At 47.3% G+C, this 25,132-nt stretch overlaps 1 protein-coding gene across 1 annotated transcript in view; it reads right to left on the bottom strand.

Annotated features, from left to right (window-relative positions):
- DHRSX (dehydrogenase/reductase X-linked) overlaps positions 1-25,132 on the bottom strand; it is a 281,471-nt gene that overhangs the window by 57,979 nt on the left and 198,360 nt on the right. Inside the window, exon 4 of the mRNA NM_145177.3 lies at positions 14,018-14,119. Within this exon, the coding sequence (NP_660160.2) occupies positions 14,018-14,119 (102 nt within the window). The remainder of the gene's footprint in view (positions 1-14,017; positions 14,120-25,132) is intronic.

Consider the following 25,132-nt stretch of genomic DNA (forward strand, 5'->3'; position numbering starts at 1 on the left):
GGGAGAGAGAAGGAAGAGGAGGAAATGGGGGAAAGAGAGAGAAAGAGAGATGGAGAGGGAACAGGGAGAGAGAGGGAGGGCAAACGAGAGGGAGAGAGAAGGAGGAGGAGGAAATGGGGGAAAGAGAGAGAAAGAGAGATGGAGAGGGAACAGGGAGAGAGAGGGAGGGCAAACGAGAGGGAGAGAGAAGGAGGAGGAGGAAATGGGGGAAAGAGAGAGAAAGAGAGATGGAGAGGGAACAGGGAGAGAGAGGGAGGGCAAACGAGAGGGAGAGAGAAGGAGGAGGAGGAAATGGGGGAAAGAGAGAGAAAGAGAGATGGAGAGGGAACGGGGAGAGAGAGGGAGGGCAAACGAGAGGGAGAGAGAAGGAGGAGGAGGAAATGGGGGAAAGAGAGAGAAAGAGAGATGGAGAGGGAACAGGGAGAGAGAGGGAGGGCAAACGAGAGGGAGAGAGAAGGAGGAGGAGGAAATGGGGGAAAGAGAGAGAAAGAGAGATGGAGAGGGAACGGGGAGAGAGAGGGAGGGCAAACGAGAGGGAGAGAGAAGGAAGAGGAGGAAATGGGGGAAAGAGAGAGAGAGATGGAGAGGGAACGGGGAGAGAGAGGGAGGGCAAACGAGAGAGGGAGAGAGAAGGAGGAGGAGGAAATGGGGGAAAGAGAGAGAAAGAGAGATGGAGAGGGAACGGGGAGAGAGAGGGAGGGCAAACGAGAGGGAGAGAGAAGGAGGAGGAGGAAATGGGGGAAAGAGAGAGAAAGAGAGATGGAGAGGGAACGGGGAGAGAGAGGGAGGGCAAACGAGAGGGAGAGAGAAGGAAGAGGAGGAAATGGGGGAAAGAGAGAGAGAGATGGAGAGGGAACGGGGAGAGAGAGGGAGGGCAAACGAGAGAGGGAGAGAGAAGGAGGAGGAGGAAATGGGGGAAAGAGAGAGAAAGAGAGATGGAGAGGGAACGGGGAGAGAGAGGGAGGGCAAACGAGAGGGAGAGAGAAGGAGGAGGAGGAAATGGGGGAAAGAGAGAGAAAGAGAGATGGAGAGGGAACGGGGAGAGAGAGGGAGGGCAAACGAGAGGGAGAGAGAAGGAGGAGGAGGAAATGGGGGAAAGAGAGAGAAAGAGAGATGGAGAGGGAACGGGGAGAGAGAGGGAGGGCAAACGAGAGGGAGAGAGAAGGAGGAGGAGGAAATGGGGGAAAGAGAGAGAAAGAGAGATGGAGAGGGAACGGGGAGAGAGAGGGAGGGCAAACGAGAGAGGGAGAGAGAAGGAAGAGGAGGAAATGGGGGAAAGAGAGAGAAAGAGAGATGGAGAGGGAACAGGGAGAGAGAGGGAGGGCAAACGAGAGGGAGAGAGAAGGAGGAGGAGGAAATGGGGGAAAGAGAGAGAAAGAGAGATGGAGAGGGAACAGGGAGAGAGAGGGAGGGCAAACGAGAGGGAGAGAGAAGGAGGAGGAGGAAATGGGGGAAAGAGAGAGAAAGAGAGATGGAGAGGGAACAGGGAGAGAGAGGGAGGGCAAACGAGAGGGAGAGAGAAGGAGGAGGAGGAAATGGGGGAAAGAGAGAGAAAGAGAGATGGAGAGGGAACGGGGAGAGAGAGGGAGGGCAAACGAGAGGGAGAGAGAAGGAGGAGGAGGAAATGGGGGAAAGAGAGAGAAAGAGAGATGGAGAGGGAACAGGGAGAGAGAGGGAGGGCAAACGAGAGGGAGAGAGAAGGAGGAGGAGGAAATGGGGGAAAGAGAGAGAAAGAGAGATGGAGAGGGAACAGGGAGAGAGAGGGAGGGCAAACGAGAGGGAGAGAGAAGGAGGAGGAGGAAATGGGGGAAAGAGAGAGAAAGAGAGATGGAGAGGGAACGGGGAGAGAGAGGGAGGGCAAACGAGAGGGAGAGAGAAGGAAGAGGAGGAAATGGGGGAAAGAGAGAGAGAGATGGAGAGGGAACGGGGAGAGAGAGGGAGGGCAAACGAGAGGGAGAGAGAAGGAAGAGGAGGAAATGGGGGAAAGAGAGAGAGAGATGGAGAGGGAACGGGGAGAGAGAGGGAGGGCAAACGAGAGAGGGAGAGAGAAGGAAGAGGAGGAAATGGGGGAAAGAGAGAGAAAGAGAGATGGAGAGGGAACAGGGAGAGAGAGGGAGGGCAAACGAGAGGGAGAGAGAAGGAAGAGGAGGAAATGGGGGAAAGAGAGAGAGAGATGGAGAGGGAACGGGGAGAGAGAGGGAGGGCAAACGAGAGGGAGAGAGAAGGAAGAGGAGGAAATGGGGGAGAGAGAAAGAGAGATGGAGAGGGAACGGGGAGAGAGAGGGAGGGCAAACGAGAGGGAGAGAGAAGGAAGAGGAGGAAATGGGGGAAAGAGAGAGAGAGATGGAGAGGGAACGGGGAGAGAGAGGGAGGGCAAACGAGAGAGGGAGAGAGAAGGAGGAGGAGGAAATGGGGGAAAGAGAGAGAAAGAGAGATGGAGAGGGAACGGGGAGAGAGAGGGAGGGCAAACGAGAGGGAGAGAGAAGGAGGAGGAGGAAATGGGGGAAAGAGAGAGAAAGAGAGATGGAGAGGGAACGGGGAGAGAGAGGGAGGGCAAACGAGAGGGAGAGAGAAGGAGGAGGAGGAAATGGGGGAAAGAGAGAGAAAGAGAGATGGAGAGGGAACGGGGAGAGAGAGGGAGGGCAAACGAGAGGGAGAGAGAAGGAGGAGGAGGAAATGGGGGAAAGAGAGAGAAAGAGAGATGGAGAGGGAACGGGGAGAGAGAGGGAGGGCAAACGAGAGAGGGAGAGAGAAGGAAGAGGAGGAAATGGGGGAAAGAGAGAGAAAGAGAGATGGAGAGGGAACAGGGAGAGAGAGGGAGGGCAAACGAGAGGGAGAGAGAAGGAGGAGGAGGAAATGGGGGAAAGAGAGAGAAAGAGAGATGGAGAGGGAACAGGGAGAGAGAGGGAGGGCAAACGAGAGGGAGAGAGAAGGAGGAGGAGGAAATGGGGGAAAGAGAGAGAAAGAGAGATGGAGAGGGAACAGGGAGAGAGAGGGAGGGCAAACGAGAGGGAGAGAGAAGGAGGAGGAGGAAATGGGGGAAAGAGAGAGAAAGAGAGATGGAGAGGGAACGGGGAGAGAGAGGGAGGGCAAACGAGAGGGAGAGAGAAGGAGGAGGAGGAAATGGGGGAAAGAGAGAGAAAGAGAGATGGAGAGGGAACAGGGAGAGAGAGGGAGGGCAAACGAGAGGGAGAGAGAAGGAGGAGGAGGAAATGGGGGAAAGAGAGAGAAAGAGAGATGGAGAGGGAACAGGGAGAGAGAGGGAGGGCAAACGAGAGGGAGAGAGAAGGAGGAGGAGGAAATGGGGGAAAGAGAGAGAAAGAGAGATGGAGAGGGAACGGGGAGAGAGAGGGAGGGCAAACGAGAGGGAGAGAGAAGGAAGAGGAGGAAATGGGGGAAAGAGAGAGAGAGATGGAGAGGGAACGGGGAGAGAGAGGGAGGGCAAACGAGAGGGAGAGAGAAGGAAGAGGAGGAAATGGGGGAAAGAGAGAGAGAGATGGAGAGGGAACGGGGAGAGAGAGGGAGGGCAAACGAGAGAGGGAGAGAGAAGGAAGAGGAGGAAATGGGGGAAAGAGAGAGAAAGAGAGATGGAGAGGGAACAGGGAGAGAGAGGGAGGGCAAACGAGAGGGAGAGAGAAGGAAGAGGAGGAAATGGGGGAAAGAGAGAGAGAGATGGAGAGGGAACGGGGAGAGAGAGGGAGGGCAAACGAGAGGGAGAGAGAAGGAAGAGGAGGAAATGGGGGAAAGAGAGAGAGAGATGGAGAGGGAACGGGGAGAGAGAGGGAGGGCAAACGAGAGAGGGAGAGAGAAGGAAGAGGAGGAAATGGGGGAAAGAGAGAGAAAGAGAGATGGAGAGGGAACAGGGAGAGAGAGGGAGGGCAAACGAGAGGGAGAGAGAAGGAAGAGGAGGAAATGGGGGAAAGAGAGAGAGAGATGGAGAGGGAACGGGGAGAGAGAGGGAGGGCAAACGAGAGGGAGAGAGAAGGAAGAGGAGGAAATGGGGGAAAGAGAGAGAGAGATGGAGAGGGAACGGGGAGAGAGAGGGAGGGCAAACGAGAGGGAGAGAGAAGGAGGAGGAGGAAATGGGGGAAAGAGAGAGAAAGAGAGATGGAGAGGGAACGGGGAGAGAGAGGGAGGGCAAACGAGAGGGAGAGAGAAGGAGGAGGAGGAAATGGGGGAAAGAGAGAGAAAGAGAGATGGAGAGGGAACGGGGAGAGAGAGGGAGGGCAAACGAGAGGGAGAGAGAAGGAGGAGGAGGAAATGGGGGAAAGAGAGAGAAAGAGAGATGGAGAGGGAACGGGGAGAGAGAGGGAGGGCAAACGAGAGAGGGAGAGAGAAGGAGGAGAGGGAGGAAATAGGGGAAAGAGAGAGAAAGAGAGATGGAGAGGGAACGGGGAGAGAGAGGGAGGGCAAACGAGAGGGAGAGAGAAGGAAGAGGAGGAAATGGGGGAAAGAGAGAGAGAGATGGAGAGGGAACGGGGAGAGAGAGGGAGGGCAAACGAGAGAGGGAGAGAGAAGGAGGAGGAGGAAATGGGGGAAAGAGAGAGAAAGAGAGATGGAGAGGGAACGGGGAGAGAGAGGGAGGGCAAACGAGAGGGAGAGAGAAGGAGGAGGAGGAAATGGGGGAAAGAGAGAGAAAGAGAGATGGAGAGGGAACGGGGAGAGAGAGGGAGGGCAAACGAGAGGGAGAGAGAAGGAAGAGGAGGAAATGGGGGAAAGAGAGAGAAAGAGAGATGGAGAGGGAACGGGGAGAGAGAGGGAGGGCAAACGAGAGGGAGAGAGAAGGAAGAGGAGGAAATGGGGGAAAGAGAGAGAGAGATGGAGAGGGAACAGGGAGAGAGAGGGAGGGCAAACGAGAAAGGAAGAGAGAAGGAGAGGGAGGAAATAAGGGGAGAGACAGAGAAAGAGACAGAGAGAAAGAGAGAAAGGGGGAGAGAAGGAAGGCAAAGGAGAGAGGAGGAGAGATGGGGGAAGGAGGAAAGAGAGAGAAGTGGGACACAGAGGAAGACAAAGGAGATAGAGAGACAAGGGGAGAGACAGGAAGAGAAAGGAGATAGGGAGAAGAGGGAGGGTGTGCGAGAGGGAAACAGAAAGGGAGAGAGAGAAGAAAGAGGGGAGAGAGAAGAAAGAGGGGAGGGAGAGAAGAAGGGAAAGGGAGGGAGAGAGGGAGAGAGAGAATGGGAGAAAAGGAGAGAGAGAAGAGGGGAGAAAGAGGGAGAGAGGGAAGGAAGGAGAGAGGGAGGGAGGGAGAGGGAGAATGGGAGAGAGAGAAGAGGGGAGAAAGCGAGGGAGGGAGGGGGAGAGAGAGAAGAAAGAGAGAAGAGAGAAAGAGAGAGAGGGAGAGAGAGGGAGAAAGGGAGAGAGAGAAGGGAGAAGGGGAGAGAGAGGGGGAGAGAGGGAGGGAGGAGGGAGAAGGGAGGTCGAGAGCAAAATAGTAGAAGCGGGGATGGGGTAGACTGAGGAGAGAGAGAGACAGAGAGAAAAAGCAAAAGAGAGGAAAAGTGAGACAGTGAAGAGGTGGAAAGAGAGAATGACAGAGAGACGGGGAGAAGGAGGAGAGAGAGACAGAGAGTTACAGAAAGAGAGAGAGAGAGGAGAAAAGCATTTGAGTAACTGAAAAACCACTGCTTCTCAACCCACTTCCTAGAATCTCGGGAGGGCGGTGGGAAGGATGGAGCCAGTCCAGGGAGGCTATGGGACGGACGCCCTGAACATCTAGCCTTCTCTGGCAGGGAACAGCCTGCCGCAGAGTCACAACAGACCACATCCCATGCTGCTGCCAACACCAACACTAAAAGAACATCCAAATGCCTCCTGTTCAGAGAAGGCGCCATCGGGAGAGGCAGAGGAAACCACTACGGAACAGAAAGCTACTCTATCCACAGGAGAGCAGCTCTGGAAGAGAAGCAAACAGAAGGCACGCAGAATAAATGGTCTACACCTGTGCAGACTCAAGGATCCGCTGACGAATGCATGCGCCGCGATGCAACACTTTCCGTCTTCCCGGGAGGGAGACCAGATGACTGTGGAGCCCGAGTCACATAGAAAATGCCAGGCGCCCACAAAGACAGGAGATGGCTGCTCAGGTGTCCGTCCACCAAAAAGTGGGTCCTCAGTAAGGACCGGCTCCACTGCACCTCAGTCTTCTGTTGATGCAGAACTGCACACCTGGGCTTCCCCGAATGAATCTTCCTTAACTCTCATGGGTCTTGTAGGTGCCCTGTGCCCATTTGCTCATTTGAATGAACTCATTAGAATTCATTCATTCATTTGATTCCATTCATTCATTTGCATCATTTGAATTCATTCCTTCTTTTGAATTCACTTGTTCCTTTGAATTCATTCATTCACTTGAATTTATTCATTTAAATTCACTCATTTGAATTCATTCATTCATTCCTTTGAATTCGTTCATTCCTTTGAATTCACTCATTCCTTTGAATTCACTCATTCCTTTGAATTCACTCATTCCTTTGAATTCACTCATTCCTTTGAATTCACTCATTCCTTTGAATTCATTCATTCATTCCTCTGAATTTATTCATTCCTTTGAATTCATTCGTTCCTTTGACTTCATTTGTTCATTCATTTGAATTCATTCCTTCATTTGAATTTATTCATTCCCTTGAATTCATTCAGATTCACTCATTTGAATTCATTCATTCATTCCTTTGAATTCATTCCTTTGAATTCATACATTCCTTTCAATTCATTTAGTCCTTTGAATTCATTCGTTCCTTTGAATTCATTTGTTCATTCATTAGAATTCATTCATTCCTTAGAATTAATTCATTTGAATTCATTTGTTCATTCCTTTGAATTCATTTGCATTCATTCATTCCTCTGAATTCATTCATTCATTTGAATTCTTTCATTCATTCATTCACTCATTTGAATTCATTCAAGTGAATGAATGAATTTGAATGAATGAATGAATGAATGAATGAATGGGTGAATGAAGAACTGTACCAAAAAACAGAGTCTTTAGGTCTCTGGCCAGGGAAGAATCATTGTTATTTTTCAGGGTCACCCTGTATCGTGGACGTATTTCTTTGGTGGTAGGAAAAATAATGCTTAGTAATTCATTATCTCAGAAAGAAATTCATCCATTAGAGTTATGGGAAGATGGCTGACAAGGATAAATCTATAAATCCTCTGCATTATTAAAAATCTATCAATTTTCAGACATGGGGATGGGAAGCTAGATAAATACAATTTTGAAGTGAATAAACCATAAATACCGGCTCTGCAGGAGGTCTATTATTGATTTATTCTTGTGCTTGATAAATCATCGCGTTGCCTCTGAGCTTCCCACAGCAGCCAGACAGAGGCAGTCAGGTTCTATTTTCAACCCACTAGCAAATGAAAAAGATATTCTATGTCTGAAGTATTTAATGTTTGCAAAACCTTGATTGCTCTAAGAATAAAAAAAGAAAAGCACGAAGTGTAGCTCCTTCTTGCCTTGGAAGTCACCCTGGCTGAGCTCAGCTGGGGCTGTTTTCCATGAGACTTGAGGCACGTGGTTGACTAGCAGGAGTTTTGGAGGGAAGGTTCTGGGGAAATAGTTTAGGGCAGCAGTCTCCAACCTTTTTGGCACCAGGGACCACTTTTGTGAAAGACAATTTTCTGAAGACAGAAGGTGGAGGTGGAATGTGGGGATGGTTTTGGGATGATTCCGGGGCATGACATTTATTGTACACTTTATTTGTATTATTATTACATTGTACTATATAATGAAATAATTCTACAAGTCGCCATCATATAGAATCAGTGGGAGCCCTGAGCTTGTTTTCCTGTGACTAGACAGTCCCATCTGGGGGTGATGGGAGACAGTGACAGATCATCAGGAATTAGATTCCATAAGGAGCACACAACCTAGATCCTTCCCATGCACAGATCATCAGGCTTTAGCTTTTCATAAGGAGTGCACAACCTAAGTCCCTCACATGCACAGTTCACAGTAGGGTTTGTGCTCCTATAAGAATCTAATGCTGCTGCTGATCTGACAGGAGGCAGAGCTCAGGCAGTCATGTGAACAATGGGGAGTGGCTGTAAATACAGATGAAGCTTTGCTTGTTCACTTGCCACTCACCTTCTGCTGTGCGGCCGGTGTCCTAACAGGCCATGGACTGGTACTATGACCTGGGGGTTGGACAGCCCTGGTTTAGGGGTCTGCAGACCCCCTACTAGCCTCTTAGACACTAAAAGTACCACCACTGGAGTCCTTCCCTGAGGCTGCCTATAAATAGAAACTCTATTTACATAAGTTGACACCAGCAATATCCCAAACATACAATCCAGCAATCTCATTTGCACACAACGAAGAAGAATTCTGATGCACAAACCAACGAGAAAAATCCTTGATTTCTTCTCTAAGTCAAGGTACATCTGGCCCAAGCTTCAGCACACCAGCTGGTGATGAACCCATTCTCAGCGTTGACTGTATAGAATCCAGCCTTCTCATTTGCACACAACGAAGATGAATTCTGATGCATAAACCAAGGCATGCAACAAATGAGAAAAATCCTTTACTTCTTCTCTAAATCAACGTACATCTGGCTCAAGCCTCCAGCACAAGAGCTGGTGATGAATCCATTCTCAACGCTGACTGTGTAGAATCCAGCCTTCTCATTTGCACACCACGAAGATGAATTCTGATGCACAAACTAAGGCATGCAATAAATGAGAAAAATACTTTGCTTCTTCCCTAAATCCAGGTACATCAGACCCAGGCCTCCAGCACACGGGCTTGTGCTGAATCCATTCTCAGTGCTGACTGTATAGAATCCAGCCTCGTCATTTGCACACCATGAAGATGAATTCTGATGCACAAACCAAGGCAAAAAATGCTTTACTTCCTCTCTAAATCAAGGTTCATCTGGCCCAAGCCTCCAGCACACAGGCTGGTGATGAATCCATTCTCAGCATAGACTGTGCCATCTGGGCTACTTCTGGCTTGAGGAGCACTTATCCCTGCAGCTTTCCATCCACCCTGGGTACCTCGGGAGGCCCCTTTCCAAGCCCATGGGCTTCACGAAGCTCCATGGTTCTGTTGCATTTCCAAGAGAACCAAGAGGATTTGTCAACAAGAGACTGCCTCTCTGCATTTCTGTCTTCTTGTGAAGAGTGGGCAATGGGTATTCAACACAGCCTCCAAAAGCGAAGTCTCCAGCTCTTTTCTAGAAGCTTCTGTCTGTACCCACAGAGGAAAAAAAAAAAAATCCAGATCCTCTGCAACTGAGCTCTTCTCAACAGTGACCCCAGGGACAAGATGAACCTTAGTCAGCCACAAAAACCTATAGGGAGTCCAGGAAAGCCACAGCCTGAGCAACCTCTTGAAAGATGTAGAACAAAAAGATAAAAGGAAGAAAGTGCAAAGTGTTATTTCAAGCCATCATCTTGTAACAAATGGATTCTCATTATCACCTCCTGGAAATGGTGTTCTGAGCAGCACAGGCTGGGGAATTCCAGGGAGGCGTGTGACTTGGGGTGCAATCTTCTCTGTACTTTACAAGACTGTGTTGTCACATTGCAAGAGGTGTGTTTTCTAAGGCAGAACATTTCACAGAATGATTATTGGTCCAATGTTTGTTTCCGTTGCTAAAGTATGATTTCTATGAGGTCAAGAATCTTGCTTATTATTTTATTTTTCCTGCAAGCGAAGTATGTGAAGGGCAGAGTAGGTAGGTATGGCAGGTTAAATAATGCACAACTCAAGATGTCCAGGTCCACATTATTCATGTGGGAGACAGAATCATGACCCCAAAAATGCCCACACTGTAATCCCCATGTGGGAGACACAATAATGGCCCCAAAGATGTCCACATCCTAATCCTCAGGTGGAAGACAGAATAATGGCCCCAAAAATGTCCACATCCTAATCCTCATGTGGAAGACAGAATAATGACCCAAAGATGTCCACATCCCAATCCTCATGTGGAAGACAAAATAATGGCCCTGAAGATGTCCACATCCTAATCCCCATGTGGTAGACAGAATAATGGCCCCAAAGATGTCCACATCCCAATCCCCATGTGGTACACAGAATAATGGCCCCGAAGATGTCCATATCCGAATCCCCATGTGGGAGACAGAATAATGGCCCCGAAGATGTCCATATCCAAATCCCCATGTGGAAGACAGAATAATGGCCCCAAAGATGTCCACATCCTAATCCCCATGTGGAAGCCGAACAATGGCCCCAAAGATGTCCATATGTTAATTCCCATGTGGTAGATAGAATAATAGCCCCAAAGATGTTCACATTCTAATCCTCATGTGGGAAACAGAATAATGGCCCCAAAGATGTCCACATCCTAATCCTCATGTGGAAGACTGAATAATGGCTCTAAAGATGTCCACAGACTAATTCTCATGTGGTCGACACAATAATGACCCCAGAGATGCCCACAACCTATTCCCAATTTGGAAGAGTAATAACTCAAAAGATGAAAAAATGTCCATGTCCTCATCTCTGGAACACATGAAAATGTGACTTTCACGGCAAAAGGGCCTTTGTAGATGTGAATTAGTGGAAGATCTTGAGATGAGGTGATTATCTGAGATGATCCTGGTGGGCCCCAAATAATCACAATGGTTCTTCTACAAGGCAGGCAGAAGAACAAAAGTAAGTGAAGGAGATAAAAAAAAAGAGAAGGCAAGATGAGAGAGAGAAAGAGAGAGAAGGGAAGAGAGGGAGAGAGAGAGAACAAGAAAGAGAGATTCAAAGGTGTCTCATTGCTGGCTTTGTTGTTGTTTTTGTTGTTTTGAGATGGAGTTTTGCTCTTGTTGCCCAGACTGGAGTGCAGTGGTGTGATCTCAGCTTACTGCAACCTCTGCCTCCCGGGTTCAAGCAATTCTCCTGCCTCAGCCTCCCGAGTAGCTGGGATTACAGGCATGCGCCACCATGCCCAGCTAATTTTGTATTTTTAGTAGAGACAGGGTTTCACAATGTTGTCCACGTTGGTCTCGAACTCCTGACCTCACGTAATCCACCTGCCTCGGCCTCCCAAAGTGCTGAGGTTACAGGCGTGAGCCACTATCATTGCTGGCTTTAAGGCCGGGTTGGAGGCCATGGGTGAAGAAACGCTGACAGTCTTCTAAAAACTGGGGAAGGAAATACTCTCCTCTAGAACCAGTGTCAGCCATAGACTCAGGAATTTCACACTGGACTTACTGGCTTGAGGTGCCTCTGAGGCATTGAGCGAAGGTAAAAGGTCTTAGCATGGAAGAAAGGTCTAGATAAGTCTAGGAAGAAGTAAACCCAATATGTGCATGAGATTTTCTACAGAAGAGATAGGGTACAGAGACAATCCAACAACAAGACCCTTTTGATTCAAATTCAACCCTGTCCCAGTTTCCAGAATATTTTTGTTTGTTTCTGAGAGCCCTGTGTGCCTTGTTTAAAATCTGTTGAGAAAAGGAACAGAGGAGAATCCTAGGAATGCAATAGCCATTTCAAAAGGTAAACGTGGTGGTTGAGTGATGGAGTATACGCTGGTTAGCCTGTGTCAACTGGTGTTAGCCTGTATCCACTGTCACAGATGTGGTTCATATACACATTGCTCAGTAAAATTCTGCTCCCCCCAGAACACAGTAAGATTCTGCTGGAGAAACATATCATATCTGACATTCCTAATTTTTTTTTTTTTTTGAAACAGTCTTGCTCTGTTGCTCAGGCTGGAGTGCAATGGTGTGGTCTCGGCTCACTGCAGCCTCCACCTCCCAGGTTCAAGCGATTCTCCTGCCTCAGCCTCCTGAGTAGCTGGGACTACAGATGCCCGCCACCACGCCTGGCTAATATTTGTATTTTTAGTAGAGACAGGGTTTCACCATATTGGTCAGGCTGGTCTGGAACCCCTGACCTCAGGTGATCCACTCACCTCAGCCTCCCAAAGTGTTGGGATTACAGGGGTGAGCCACCGCGCCCGGCCTGAGATTCCTAATTTTTTCTGCTTACTGGTGGATGCAAGCCCATACCAAATGGATGGAAGTAGTCGCACAAAAGTCCTAAGAGGATGGACAGTTCTGTTTTGTGTGTCTCTGTGCAAGGGCACCATGTCATGTATGTATTTCCATCTCCAACTGCTCTGTGATAAAGTGCTCCCATTACTAATGAGTAAGGGTGTTACACAGAACGAGGAAATGAGACGTCGGGTCGTGTAGGATCTCCACAGTGCCTCTAAGTGGTCTCCACATTTGGTGACTTATAATGCTATAATTCTAATCACTTCTAATACTGATAGGTCTTCAGCAAAGGAAGTCCACACCCAGTGCTGAGACAGAAGATTCCAAATGGCTGCTGACTGGGAAATCATTTATGCCTGCGTAGAAACTTCAGATCCCACCAGGATGGCAAATCTGAAAAGTGTTATTGATCTCCAAAGAAGACACACAAAGTTAAAATCATTCCGGACCTTCCAACAGGAGCCACTAGCACTGATAATACGATGTTTCTTACCAGGCTAAGTACATGGAAATGGTGTTGTCTGTAGCTATTTGAGTGGCACTCACACATCATAGCTATGTCTGCACGTATTTTTATGCATAAATACATATACATCATACATCAAATACATATACAAATACATATGCACTCACACATAGCTATGTCTGTACAAATTTTTATGCATAAATTGGCATCACACTCTATGTATAGTTTTATATCCCATGCTTCTCCTTTAAACTCTAGCATAATAATTTCCAATTAAACAAGTGGGTTGAGGGGGAACCGTGGGTATCTCATCCACTTTCCTATCCTCCAATCCCATTAATGTTATACAAAAACACGAAACACATCAAGACAAAAAGAAAAAAAAATTAGATAGAAGCTACCACATCTTGGCAGCTGGAAACAGACAGGTATTACAACTTTAGTACAAAGAATAATGCTTTCTCCCTCCTTACAGACATGTCCATATCCTAATCTCCAGAATTTATGAAAATGGTACGTTAGGTAGCACAAGGGGTTTTGCAGAATTAAGAATCTTTAATGGTCTAGGTGGGTAATGGAGTAATTACATTGGGTAATCACAAGATCCTTTTGCTGATTTTTTTGTCTGCAATCTGAAGTGTCAATAACTTGATAAATATTTCATGTATTTGAAAGGAATGTGCTGTCTTTATGGGCTCACTGTTTGACGTACGTCTGTTCTATCCACTGTATTAATGTCACTATTTATTTCCTCTCTGAATTTGCATTTGGTCTCCATCTGTGAAAGTGATGCGTTAAATTCTACTAGCACACATGTTTGTTGGTGTATTTCTGAGACCTTTAGTTCTATGTATTTACTTAGTTTGGAGATGTCAATAACTGTACCTCCTCAGTGTGGAGGGTTCAGGTTAACTTTTATAAAAAATAAAATGGACTGCAGCAGGGGATGAGAGTAATGGGCATCAGTGTTACGAGGAGAAACATTAAGTGTTGCAATGATCTTAAGCGCTCAGCGTGGCCCAAAGAAGGGCTCAAGGTCAACAGTAAGCGTTGCAATGACCTTAAGCACTCAGCGAGGCTCAAAGAAGGGCTCAAGGTCAAGGGTAGTTTGTGTTGAAGATTGGCAGATGGGCAGATTGAAGGTGGGGAAGGGGAGATATTGACTCCACCTATCTGGGTGAGAATGTTGAACAGGGGGTAAAATCAAGAGATAAATGGTAATGAGCTTCTAGTGCCCAAATAATGACTCTCAGGGGAATGTGGTGATGGTTTTGTAAGATAACATTTGGGAAAACACCAACCCTTAGCATGTGCCTCATACCCTTTAGTCCAAGTGGACAAGTCAACGTGTCAACTCCATACAACATGTTATCGCGTTTACCATTATTTCAAAGTAACATGCTAACAAGAATGATGCTCTTCCAAAGCTATCCGTGAAATGAAGCACTGACTAGAAATAGCAGGTATGTTCAATAATTCCCATGGATATCCTGTTTTGCTGAGACACTTCTCCCGCATGAAAGCTAGAGTTCCTGTTTGCATTCAAATTAACCCCTGGCTTGCTGCAATTTCACCAGGACTCACCATTGTTGATCAGGACATGGAGAGGAATCTTCTTCATCTTGAACTTCTGCACAAACTGCCGGATGGAAGTCATGGAAGCCAAGTCACAGTATAAAAATTCCACTGGAAAAGGACAACAACAAAAAATACCTGGTTATCTCCCAACCTATTTCAGAGATTAAGAAAATTTCTAAACAGGTCAAACTCAATTTCATCTAGGAAGTAACACTTTTTTTTTTTCTGCTCTTTTTGAGATGGAGTCTCGCTCTGTTGACCGGGCTGGAGTGCTGTGGCAGGATCTCAGCTCACTGCAGCCTCTGCTTCCTGGGTTCCAGTGATTCTCCTGCCTCAGCCTCCCAGGTAGCTGGGATTACAGGCACATGCCACCAGGCCCAGCTAATTTTTGTATTTTTGTATTTTTTTTTTTTTTTTTTTTTTTAGTAGAGACAATGTTTCACCATGTTGGCCAGGCTGGTCTCAAACTCTTGACCTCAGGTGATCCGCCCGCCTCAGCCTCCCAAAGTGCTGGGATTACAGGCGTGAGCCACCACGCCTGTCCAGGAAGTAACACTGAATTGGACATGTCAGTAGGGTACAATGAGGAGCTCATACTCTAGGGAGATCAATGAGTCCCATCCTTGTATAGTCCCCTTTCCTTGAGTCTGTGTGGGACCTGTCATTCTCCTCCTGACCTTGATGTGAGCTGATGTTTTGTGAGAGCGCCTTGGGGCCAGAACCTGGGCATGGCCTCTCTAGGAGCTGACAGCAGCCCCTGGCCAAAAGCCAGCAAGATACTCAGATCCCCAGATCTGCAGCTTCCAGGAATTGGATTCTGCGTATAACCATGTGAATTTCGAAGATCCTGAGCTCCAGAGAGGACCTCAGGCCAGATGACACTTTGGTTATAGCCCAGTGAGACCCCGAAGAGAGAATGCAGTTACACCTGCCCAGATTCCTGACCCGCAGCAGCTGTGGGATAGTAAGTATGAGCCCTTCCACGCTGCTGAGTCTGTGGGTTATTTTGTTACACAGCATATGTAACTGATACACAAAATGACTCAGAAGCAAGGACTTCCTTCTTCTGCAGTAGAGGAATATAGAATATAGAATTTTATATAATAATCAAACAGGAAGCAATTTATGCATCCCCTGCTACAGATAGTAAGAAGTACGAGCCCTTCCACGTTGCTGAATCTGTGTTATTTTGTTACAGGGCATATGTAACTAATACACAAAATGGCTCAGAAGCAAGGACTTCCTTCTTCCACAGGAGAATATAGAATTTTATATAATAATAAAAAAGGACGCCATTTATGGATCCCTTGCTACAGATAGTAAGTATGAGCTCTTCCACGCTGCTCAGTCTGTTATTTTGTTACACAGTATATGTAACTAATACACAAAATGACTCAGAAGCAAGGACTTCCTTCTTCTGCAGAAGAATAATAAAAGAAAGCATTTTATTTTTTATTACATTTATGTTTTTGGAGACAGGGTCTCACTATGTCCCCATGGCTGGTCTCGAACTCCTAAGCTCAAGTGAGCCTCCCACATCAGCCTCCCAAAGTGTTGGATTACAGGCGTGAGCAGCTGTGTCCAGCCAAAGATGACATTTTTAGAGAGTGAATGACTCAGGGACAGCTTTATAACATCACATAGGTAGAGAGGTAGACTTATGTCTATTGTATTCAGTATATCAACTTCACTCTTTCTCTCTAAATTCCCAGTGGGTCTCCATCGCTAAAAGTGATGTGTTTGATTGTGTTAAAGCTGTTTTTTTTTTTTTTTTCCCAGAAGGACTGAGGTTTTGGAGGGAGAGGAACTAGAAAGAAAAGCAAATTCACAGGTATATAATTCTGCCTCCAGGTCCATGGGTTCAAGGAGGTTGGGAGAACAATGCAACAACCTAAAGTCAGACAGAACAAAATGCATGAAAACTAGCTATTACTTGCAGCAGAGACAGCAGATCTCTGAGGGAAGAAGCAAGTTCCCTTACATTGAGATGGGAAGGTAATTTCTGGAGAGAGGTGGAAGGTATTGGGGGACACTGCCAGTGAGTTCTGAAAGGTGAGGATGGGGAATGGTGTGAGGTGGAAGAGCAAATCACAGCATGTGTGCAGAGGTCAGAGACAGGAGTCCTCAGGGAGGGAGCGAGCAGAGGCTGGTTCTGGGCTGGCCGAGAAGAGAACAGCCTTGATCTGCAGGGCTGCTGGTGGTCAGTGTCATTTACAGCCTCCTCACTGGGGAGCCTCATAGGGGAAAATCATTACTGTAAAAGAACTGTTAATATTTTTATGAAGGCCACATAGCTTTCAGAGGATAAGCAGTGTGTGTGTGTGGTGGGGGGAGGGGTCTGCCTGTGCCCCCCATGTCTGCACTGATGTGTAAAATGCCAGCAATCAATTTTATGACAGACACACCTTGCTTAATAAGCTCTATGAGCCTTACTCTCCAAAACTATTACTGGAATGCTCATCATCATTCCAAAACGAAATGACTCTCCACTCACCATCAGAGAGAGAGAAGAGACAGAGATGGAGTGTAAGAATGAGAAAGAGAGAGATAGAAAGATAGAAGCAGAGAGAGAGAGAAAGAGAGAAAGAAAGAAAGGCTAAGAGAGAAAGAGAAAAAAGGAGGGGGAGGAAAAGGGGAAGAGAGAAAAAACACACAGAGATAAAGACAAAGAGACACAGTGAGAGAGAGAAACAGAAAGAGAGAGAGGGACGGGAGACAGTAAAAGGGACAAAGAGAGAAAGGCAGACAGAGAGATACAAAGAAAGAGGCCGGGCACGATGGCTCATGCCTGTAATCCCAGCACTTTAGGAGGCGAAGGCAGGCAGATCACGTGAGGTCAGGACTTTGAGACCAGCTTGGCTAACATGTTGAAACCTCGTCTCTACTAAAAATACAAAAATTAGCCAGCTGTGGTGGTGCACACCTGTAATCTCAGCACTTTGGAAGGTGGGCAGAGGTCAGGAGTTCGAGACCAGCCTGGCCATTGTGGTCAAACTCCATCTCTACTAAAAATACAAAAATTAGGCGACTGTGGTGGTGCACGCCTGTAATCCCAGCTACTTGGGAGGCTAAGGCAGGAGAATCGCATGAACCTGGGAGGTGGAGGTTGCAGTAAGCCGAGGTCGCGCCACTGCACTCCAGCCTGGGTGACAGAGCAAGACTCTGTCTCAAAAAAAAAAAAAGAGACAGAAAGAGGCAAAGAGAGAGAGCGTGACAAACACTGAGAGACAGAGAGAAATAGAGAAAAGAAGACAAAGAGAGAGACAGAGAAAGAGAGAGAGAGAGAGGAAAAAGAGAGGGAGAGAGAGAGAGGAAAAAGAGAGGGAGAGAGAGAGGGAGAAAGACAAAGAGAGCAGACAGAAAAAGAAAGAGAATGAAATGAGAGAAAGTGTGTGTTAGTTTCATATTCCTTACTGTATAAGGAGAAGAAAAGGAAATGGAGAGGATTTGGAGAAATAGGAACATTTTTACACCGTTGGTAGGAGTGTAAATTAGTTCAACCATTGTGGAAGACAGTGTGGCGATTCCTCAAGGATCTAGAACCAGAAATACCATTTGACCCATCAATCCCGTTACTGGGTATATACCAAAGGTTTATAAATCATTCTACTATAAAGACACATGCACACATACGTTTATTGCGGAACTATTAACAATAGCAAAAACTTGAAACCAACCCAAATGCCCATCAATGATAGACTGGATAAAGAAAATGTGGCACATAGACACCATGGAATACTATGCAGCCATAAAAAAAGGATGAGTTCATGTCCTTTGCAGGGACATGGATGAAGCTGGAAACCATCATTCTCAGCAAACTATCACAGGAACAGAAAACCAAACACTGCATGTTCTCACTCATCAGTGGAAGTTGAACAATGAGAACACATGGACACAGGGAGGGGAACATCACACACCAGGGCTTGCTGGGGGGTGGAGGGTTAGGGAAGGGATAGCTTTAGGACAAATACCTAATGTAGATGACGGGTCGATGGGTGCAGCAAACCACCATGGCACGTGTATACCTATGTAACAAACTTGCACGTTCTGTACATGTATCCAGAACTTAAAGTATAATAATACCAAAAAAACAAGAAGAAAAGGAAATGGTATCTGGATTACTTTGACAGGACATAACTTTCTAAAACACGTCATTCTGGATAAAATATTACCAGGCTGTTAGGACACGCTGCTGAGTCTGTGTTATTTTGTTACACGGCATGTGTAACTAATACACAAAATGACTCAGAAGCAAGGACTTCCTTCTTCTGCAGTAGAATAATAAAAGAGGGCTAGCACTTGCTTGTATTGACGGCTTGTATTTTCACGCGGTTCCGGCATGTGGCAATACCGAAGCACAAAGCTGGGGCGCATACGCACATTTATTTTCTCATCGAAGACCATAAATAGTTCCCTTCCTCCCATACGTAGCCCATTCTCTTGACTTTCCTTTTCTGGGATGGACTGTGGGGTTCTCGCCGAGAGATGCTTGTGTGCCTCACTTGGGGATCGTAAACGCAAATGTGTCACCTCCTTCAGGAAGTTTTCCTGAACCCCAAGCCACGCCGGGCATCTCTAGATCTGGCTTCCGCAATCGCAACGACAGTACCCATCATTGCACCTCCTCACTTGCATGACCAGTATGTTTTTAAGCATGTCTCATATGCCTTGGATGCTACGTAACTTTGGAACATACATTGAAATGATGCATCTTTGAGTGTCCAGAGCTAGGCTCTCTGGGCACACCCAGAAAAAAGTCAGCGGAAGAGGTAAAGGGAAGATGTATGGGAGCTTGGGCCACGTCCTCTGCTGGCGCTCTGCCGCATGCCAGCTTCTGCCCCAGAGGGAGGGGAGGGAAGGAGAGGGAAAAAGAGAAAAGAAGAAAAGGGGAGAAAGGTGAAGTGAAAAATATCAGCATGAAGCAAAAATGTGTCCTCAGACAAAAAGGAAATGCATAGACCCGAGGCAGACAGGAATAGGACCCAGGCAGATAGGAATAGGACCCAGGCAGATAGACCCAGGCAGACAGGAATAGGACCCAGGCAGATAGACCCCAGGCAGATAGGAATAGGACCCAGGCAGATAGGAATAGGACCCAGGCAGATAGACCCCAGGCAGATAGGAATAGGACCCAGGCAGATAGGAATAGGACCCAGGCAGATAGACCCCAGGCAGATAGGAATAGGACCCAGGCAGATAGGAATAGGACCCAGGCAGATAGACCCCAGGCAGACAGGAATAGGACCCAGGCAGATAGGAATAGGACCCAGGCAGATAGACCCCAGGCAGATAGGAATAGGACCCAGGCAGATAGGAATAGGACCCAGGCAGATAGGAATAGGACCCAGGCAGATAGACCCCAGGCAGACAGGAATAGGACCCAGGCAGATAGGAATAGGACCCAGGCAGATAGACCCCAGGCAGATAGGAATAGGACCCAGGCAGATAGGAATAGGACCCAGGCAGATAGACCCCAGGCAGACAGGAATAGGACCCAGGCAGATAGGAATAGGACCCAGGCAGATAGACCCAGGCAGATAGGAATAGGACCCAGGCAGGCACTGCAAGCTGTGAGCATCATCTTGGGAATATGCAAATGTTTGTGCTGAATTACTTTCCTTTTTAAAATTATTTATGCATTTATTGAGACAGGGTCTCGTTCTGTCACCCAGGCTGGAGTGCAAAGGTGTGATCTGGGCTCACTGCAGCCTCCACCTCCCGAATTCAAGCGATTCTCCCTCCTTAGCCTCCTGAGTAGCTGGGACCACAGGTGCGCAGCACCACGCCTGGCTACTTTTTGTAGTTGTTGTAGAGATCGGATTTTGCAATATTGCCCAAGCTGGACTCGAACTCCTGGGCTCAAGCGATCCGCCCGCCTTGGCCTCTCAAAGTGCTGGGATTACCGTCGTGAGCCACCTTGCCTGGCCATCCTTTCCTAAGGTAGTAAGAATGTGGTAGGCTAAATGACGGTATCCTCCACTCCGTCCCTAAAAATCTCCTGGTCCTAATCTCTAGAACCTGTGAAAAGATTACCTTGTATGAAAATAGGGTGTTTAGACATTAAAGGTTTTCAAATGAGGAAATTATCCTGTATTAGCCTAAATATAATGACAAAGATTTTTGTTTTTTGTTTGTTAGCTTTTATAGAGACAGGGGTCTCTCTATGTTGCCAAGGTAGGTCTCAAACTCCTGGCCTTGTTATCATACTGCTGCCCAAAATGCTAGGATGACAGGAGTGCGGAGTTTTTTTTGTTTTGTCTTTTTGAGTTTTTTTTTTTTGACAAAGTCTTGCTCTGTCACCCAGGCTGGAATACAGCGGACAGATCTTGGCTGACTGCAACCTCCACTTCCCGAGTTCAAGTGATCCTCCCTTCCTCAGTCTCCCAAGTAGCTGGGATTACAGGCACCCGCCACCACGCCCGGCTTATTTTTGTATTTTTAGTAAAGATGGGGTTTCACCATGTTGGCCGGGCTGGTCTCAAACTCCTGACCTCAGGTGATCTGCCCGCCTCGGCCTCCCAAAGTGCTGGGATGACAGGCATGAGCTACCACGCCTAGCCTGGGGTTTTTATAAGGAGGAGGAACAGGCATGCTTGAGACAGATGAGAGAAAATGATGATGTGAAGACAGAGGCAGAGACTGGAGTGATACAGCCACAAGCCGTGGGATGCCTGGAGCCCCCAGGAGCTGGGGGAGGCCAAAAGGATCCTCCCCTAGAGCGTCTGGATGGAGCTCAGCCCTGAGACACCTTGGATTTAAAGTCTTGTCCTCCAGACCTGGGAGAGGATATATTTCTATTGTGCAAGTTCCCCAGTTTTGGTGTTTTTTTTTTTTTTGTTAGTTCAATATGATTTTATTCAAAAATGTATACAGCTGAAGGAGGGATCTGGTCTTTTGTTAAAAAAAAAAAAAACAATTTTCACAGTATATATTTGGCCATTTTAGCTCTGTAGTGAACAACACCAGAAAAGGAAGTTTCTGTTCAAGATCCTGACTCCAGCACACTCAGCCAGGTTGCTTGGCAAGATGACACATTTCCTGGTCTGAAGCACACAGCCCATCCTCTCACCTAAGTGGAACAGCAGTTCTCCTGCAGGCGCGTGTGTACACACACACACACACACACACACACACACACACACGAGGTCTTATTTTCACTGCTCTACACAGGGTCCTGAGAACCCTTACTTTTAAAGTTGGGAAAAACGGGCCGGGCGCGGCAGCTCACGCCTGTATTCCCAGCACTTTGGGAGGCCGAGGCGGGCGGATCACCTGAGGTCGGGAGTTCAAGACCAGCCTGGCCAACATGGAGAAACCCCGTCTCTACTAAAAATACAAAATTAGCCGGGTGTGGTGGCACATGCCTGTAATCCCAGCTACCAGGGAGGCTAAGGCAGGAGAATCACTTGAACCTGGGAGGCAGAGGTTGCGGTGAGCCGAGCTCGTGCCATTGCACTCCAGCCTGGGCAACAAGAGTGAAACTCTGTCTCAAAAAAAAAAAAAAAAAAAAAAAAAAAAATGGGAAAAATGTGGAAGGATTCCTTAACTCATTGTCTGCGACAAATCCAGCTGCCTTTTAACTCTTAGCAACTGCCAGTATCAAATACTTGAAAGTGACGAGATGCTCCATTTAATGCAACAACTCAAATGCTAAGCAATTCGGTCAAGTCACATGCTTGAATATTTTTAAATGTCACTTAAAAATTATCGAGAGAAGATAAGATGTGCTTTTCACAGTAACCCTAAGGAACTCACACAGAATAAAAATCTTAACCCTAACGGAGTGTGAATCCACAGTAACAAATGCCTTCTGTCACTGTGATTCTGACAGTGAGACAGTATCATATGAAGACAGGAGATTCACGCACCTGCTGTGTCTGATGCCCCTCTCGGCACCTAGCATGGTGAATGATGTCCACGCTTCCCGTAGCCCACACACCACACCCTCCAATGCAGAAAGTGAGTCTACAATTCTCACTGTTGCTCTTGAGGCTGCCAATAACTCATCCAACTTTTCTTTTATTTGCAACTCAGTGACAGACAGTAAACCCTGAGACTCAAGAAGATAACCTCATCTGGCCGGGTGTGGTGGCTCATGCCTATAACCCCAGCACTTTGGGAGGCTGAGATGGGTGGATCACCTGAGGTCAGGAGTTCGAGACCAGCCTGGCCAACATGGTGAAATCCGGTCTCTACTAAAAATACAAAAATTAGCCAGGTGTGGTGGTGCACGCCTGTAATCCCAGATACTCGGGAGGCTGAGGCAGGACAATCGTTTGAACCTGGGAGGTGGAGGTTGCAGTAAGCCGAGATCACACCACTGCACTCCAGCCTGGGCGACAGAGCAAGACTATGTCTCAAAAAAAAAAAAAGATAACTTCATCCACAGAAGAATTTCTAACATCTAAAGGGGTTTCCTGAGGGCAAGTCAGAAATACAGATTTCTGAAATTAATGCTGCCCAAGAGATGAAGTCAACTGGAAAGACACAGAGGCATGTGTTGATAAATAGGGATCAAGAAGAAAAAAAAATTCCTTTTGTTTGGAGTTCTGGCAAATCGCCTGGTTTGGAGGAACTGAATTACCCCTTCTTCTTTGCGATAGAGAACATCATTATGGAATGAACTGTACCTCCCTAAAAAATCCTTTTGTCTGAGGCTCTGGCAAACCTCCTAATTTGGAGGAATTGAATAGTGCCTTCATTTTTTCTTTGCAATAGATATAGGACATCGTTATAGACTGAGCCGTGCCCTCCCTCACTCATCATCAGAACCCTTAAACTCCAATGTGACTTTATTTGCAGACAGGGCCTGTAGGAGCTCAAAAGGGTGAGGCCCTCGTCCAGTAGGACTGGTGTCCTTATAATCAGAGAAACACACACCAGGTGTGATGGTTAATGCCGAGTGTCAACCTGATTGGATTGAAGGATGCAAAGTATTGATCCTGGGTGTGTCTGTGAGGGTGTGGCCAAACAAGTTTAACATTTGAGTTAGTGGGGTGGGAAAGGCAGACCCACCCTTAATCGGGGTGGGCACCATCTAATCAGCTGCCAGCACAGCACATTCAAAAAGCAGGCAAAAGAATGTGAAAAGGTTAGACTGGCCTAGCCTCCCATGCTACAGCTTTCTCCCGTGCTGGATGCTTCCTGCCCTCAAAAATTGGACTCCAAGTTCTTCAGCTTTAGCACTCGGGCTGGCTTCCTTGCTCCTCAGCTCGCAGACAGCTTATTGTAGGACCTTGTGATCCTGTGAGTTAATACTGAATAAACCCCCCTTTATATATAGCTATTTATCCTGTTAGTTATATCCCTCTAGAGAACCCTGGCCAACACAGGGTGCATCCCTCACCCCCTATATCTATCACCCTGCTGCCTGAGTTGATAGGAAAGCAGAAAGAGCCCCTTTTTAATGTTTAATTTTATTAAGTATGCAATTTCCCAGTGCCCAAACTCATGTTGATTTCAAAAACTGCCCTTTTAAAGCATGTGGACAGGGTAACAATTCATAGCAGGTGACAAAAATGTTTTATAAATAATATCCACGGAAACAGAAGGTGTCACCGTCTGCAGAATGCAGCCAAAATATTCAGAAGATTTGTATCACTCTAAGTTCTCGTGCTAGTAAGAAATAAAAAAGCAGGCCGGGCGCAGTGGCTTACGCCTGTAATCCCAGGACTTTGGGAGGCTGAGGCGGGCGATCACCTGAGTTCAGGAATTCGAGACCAGCCTGGCCAACATGGCAAAACCCTGTCTCTACTAAAAATATAAAACTTAGCTGGGCATGGTGGTGCATTGCCTGTAATCCCAGCTACTTGGGAGACTGAGGCAGGGGAATCGCTTGAACCTGGGAGGCGGAGGTTGCAGTGAGCCGAGACCATGCCACTGCACTCCAGCCTGGTGACAGTGCCAGACTCCATCTCAAAAAAAAAGCTGTGTAAATACATGAATCATTAGATATTAGCCTTTCTTTGCTGAGCCTTGCACATTTCCACGAGGTGTCTCTGGAAGCAGGTTAGCTTTGGTCTTATTGCTGCGTGGAGCAGAGATGAGAGGGATGGGCCATGACATGCCATCCTGCAGCATTCTGGTCTTTGTATGATCACGGCTGGTTGCGCTGCAGGAGCACGCCAGGTCTTTTCACCTAGTTCTTTGTTGTTGTTGTTTGAGATGGAGTTTCACCCTGTAGCTCAGGCTGAAGTGCGGTGGTGCGATCTCGGCTCACTGCAACCTCCACCTCCTGGATTCAACCAATTCTCCTGCCTCAGCCTCCTGAGTAGCTGGGACTACAGGCACCCGCCACCACGCCTGGCTAATTTTTGTGTTTTAGTAGAGACAGGGTTTCACCATGTTGCCCAGGCTGTTCTTGAACTCCGGACCTTGTGATCTGCCCGCCTCGGCCTCCCAAAGTGCTGGGATTACAGGTGTGAAGCACCTCACCCGGCCTCATCTAGCTCTTGATGACATACTCAGACCAACCCGTGGGGTCCCGGGTCCCCAGAACAGAGGTGGACATGGCTCCGATATCACAAGAACTGGCGCTTCCTGCAGCACACACCTGAGGTTGAGACACAGTGATTAGGTTTTGTTTTATTGTGGCTGATCTAGGACACTTTAAATAACACAACATCCAAGAGTCAGCCAAACGTGGCAGCCAAAAGTGCTCCTGACCTTGTGATCTGAAATATATACTTTAACCTTCTCTTGGAAGGCATGTTTTAAGATAATATAACAGCTTCCTCATCATGGAGAATGAAGCCCATCTGTACCAAGTCACCAGGCCATCAAGGAAAAGGAAATAAGTACTTTCAATATTTTCCTTAGAGAAATACAGTTGGGTGGGCAGGTGCAGTGGCTCACACCTGTTATCCCAGCACTTTGGGAGGCCAAAGCGGGCGGATCGCTTGAGGTCAGGAGCTCAAGACCAGCCTGGCCAACACGGTGAAACTGCATCTCTACTAAAAATACAAAAACTAGCCGGGCATGGGGTCAGGCACCTGAAATCCCAGCTACTTGGATGGCTGAGGCAGGAGAATTGCTTAAACCCGGGAGGTGGAGGTTGCAGTGAGCTGAGATCGCACCACTGCACTCCAGCCTGGGTGACAGAGCCAGACTGTCTCAAAAAAT

This window comes from Homo sapiens, chromosome X (genome assembly GCF_000001405.40).
Source record: "Homo sapiens chromosome X, GRCh38.p14 Primary Assembly".
Taxonomy (NCBI): Eukaryota; Metazoa; Chordata; class Mammalia; order Primates; family Hominidae; genus Homo; species Homo sapiens.